Below are 1,823 nucleotides of genomic sequence, written 5' to 3' on the forward strand. Positions count from 1 at the left end.
TGTAGAGATGGGGTCTTGCTGTGGTGCTTAGACTGGTCTTGAACTTTTGGCTTCAGGCAATCCTCCTGCTTTGGCTCCCCAAAGTGCTGGGATTATAGGTGTGAGCCACCATTCTGCTGCTCTGCCATCTTCATCTGGCCTCAGGTATCTTTCAAATGCTTCACTTTCAAATAAGCCACCTTCAAATGCTCAGGTTGCGTTTTCTCATGCTAGGACAAGCCCCAGGGAGTCCCAGTGGTTCTCCTTTCCTGTTCTACATTTTCTGAAGACTTGGAGCACTTTTTGTGGGCTCCAAGAAAAGCTTACACTAAGTTCTCCACACCAGGTGTTCAAATAACAGTCATTACTTAAAGTTAGATAACTGGGGAAAAGGTCAGAGCTACAGGTTTGGAGGAAAACTGTTGGGCCTTCTGGGAGGGGTTAGAATCACTGTAAGCTCCAGAGTTTAGGGCTTGAAAGATGGACCTGAGGCCAGAGTGAAAAGAAACAGTGTGTGTGTGTGTGTGTGTGTGTGTGTGTGTGTGTGTTGAGAGAGAGAGACAGAGGGATAAACGAAGTGAGATAGAGAGACACAGAAACTAAGAGACACAGAGAGCAAGCCAGAGAGAGAGAAAGACAACCATGGTAATTAGAAAAGACAGAGGCACAGAGACATGGAGATCTAGGGAGACACAGGCAGAGACCCTGAAAGCCTAGGAGCCAGAGAGAGATGCTGCCCATGAGAAAGGCTGAGAGGCACAGTCAGAAGCATGGATGTGTGGAGCTGGTGGGCTGGCTTGCTCAGCTTCTGATAAATGACTTCTTCCTTCCAGTGAAAAAGGATATACGAGCTCTGGATTTGGAAGTTACGTGGGGTGGGGGGGAGGGGAGCCAAAATACCAAGGGAAGACAAGTGAAAAATAAGCTTGTCAGCTGGTTAAGAAATTTACTGGTAAAGTTTTTATATCCACACATTTTCTTCTTTTTGAGCCCAGTCTGTGCAAGCAAGAAAGTAGGTGCAGAGGCTTCTCACCCTCAGAAAGGAGGTCAACATAACTAATGGCTTTTTCAGCACCCTGTTGAGAGTTTTTCCTCAACCTGCCCATGGTCTAGCCCCAGTCAAGGCAGCTGGGGGTTCCACGTAGATCCCATCACCAGCCCTTAACTCCATTCATTGTGTATTTCACCCCAGCCTGTGTCCTCAGGGCCACAGATGTGGTAACCATGGGTGACATTCAGAGAGAAGGATGCTTTCTGGCTTCTTACTGCTGTACTGGAAAAGGGACTGCGGTATGACATGTCTCTTGTTTTTATTTTCAATGTCAATTAGAAGGAAGCTTCATATATTCTGGATAATTGTGCCAGTGTCCATTGTCCTCTTGTGAATAGAGTCTGCAGCAAGGTGCAGAGGGCTAGATCTGGATTGTATGGAACTAGAGCTTCATTCTGTTCTACTACACTGGTGGCTCTAGGCACTCTCTTCCTTTCTCTGGGCTTCCGATTTCCCTGTCTAACAAAAGGACAGGTAATTAATTACTAAGAGGCCTTCCGTTTGCATCATTCTCAAAGTCCTGGTGTTTTCAAAATCCCTAATTGGTAACCACCCACACAAGTCTATCATGACTTCCTCAGAAATATGAGTTGAATGGTTGTACCACTGGGTGGACTCACGACTATCTGAGCAGCTATAGCAAAATGGTGTACATTAAAACTTGGTGTTCCATCAAAAAGCTTATCCACCATGATCAAGTAGGCTTCATCCCCGGGATCCAAGGCTTGTTCAACATACACAGATCAATAAATGTGATTAGTCACATAAGCAGAACTAAAGAAAAAAACACATG

Source organism: Homo sapiens, chromosome X, assembly GCF_000001405.40.
Source record: "Homo sapiens chromosome X, GRCh38.p14 Primary Assembly".
Classification (NCBI taxonomy): Eukaryota; Metazoa; Chordata; class Mammalia; order Primates; family Hominidae; genus Homo; species Homo sapiens.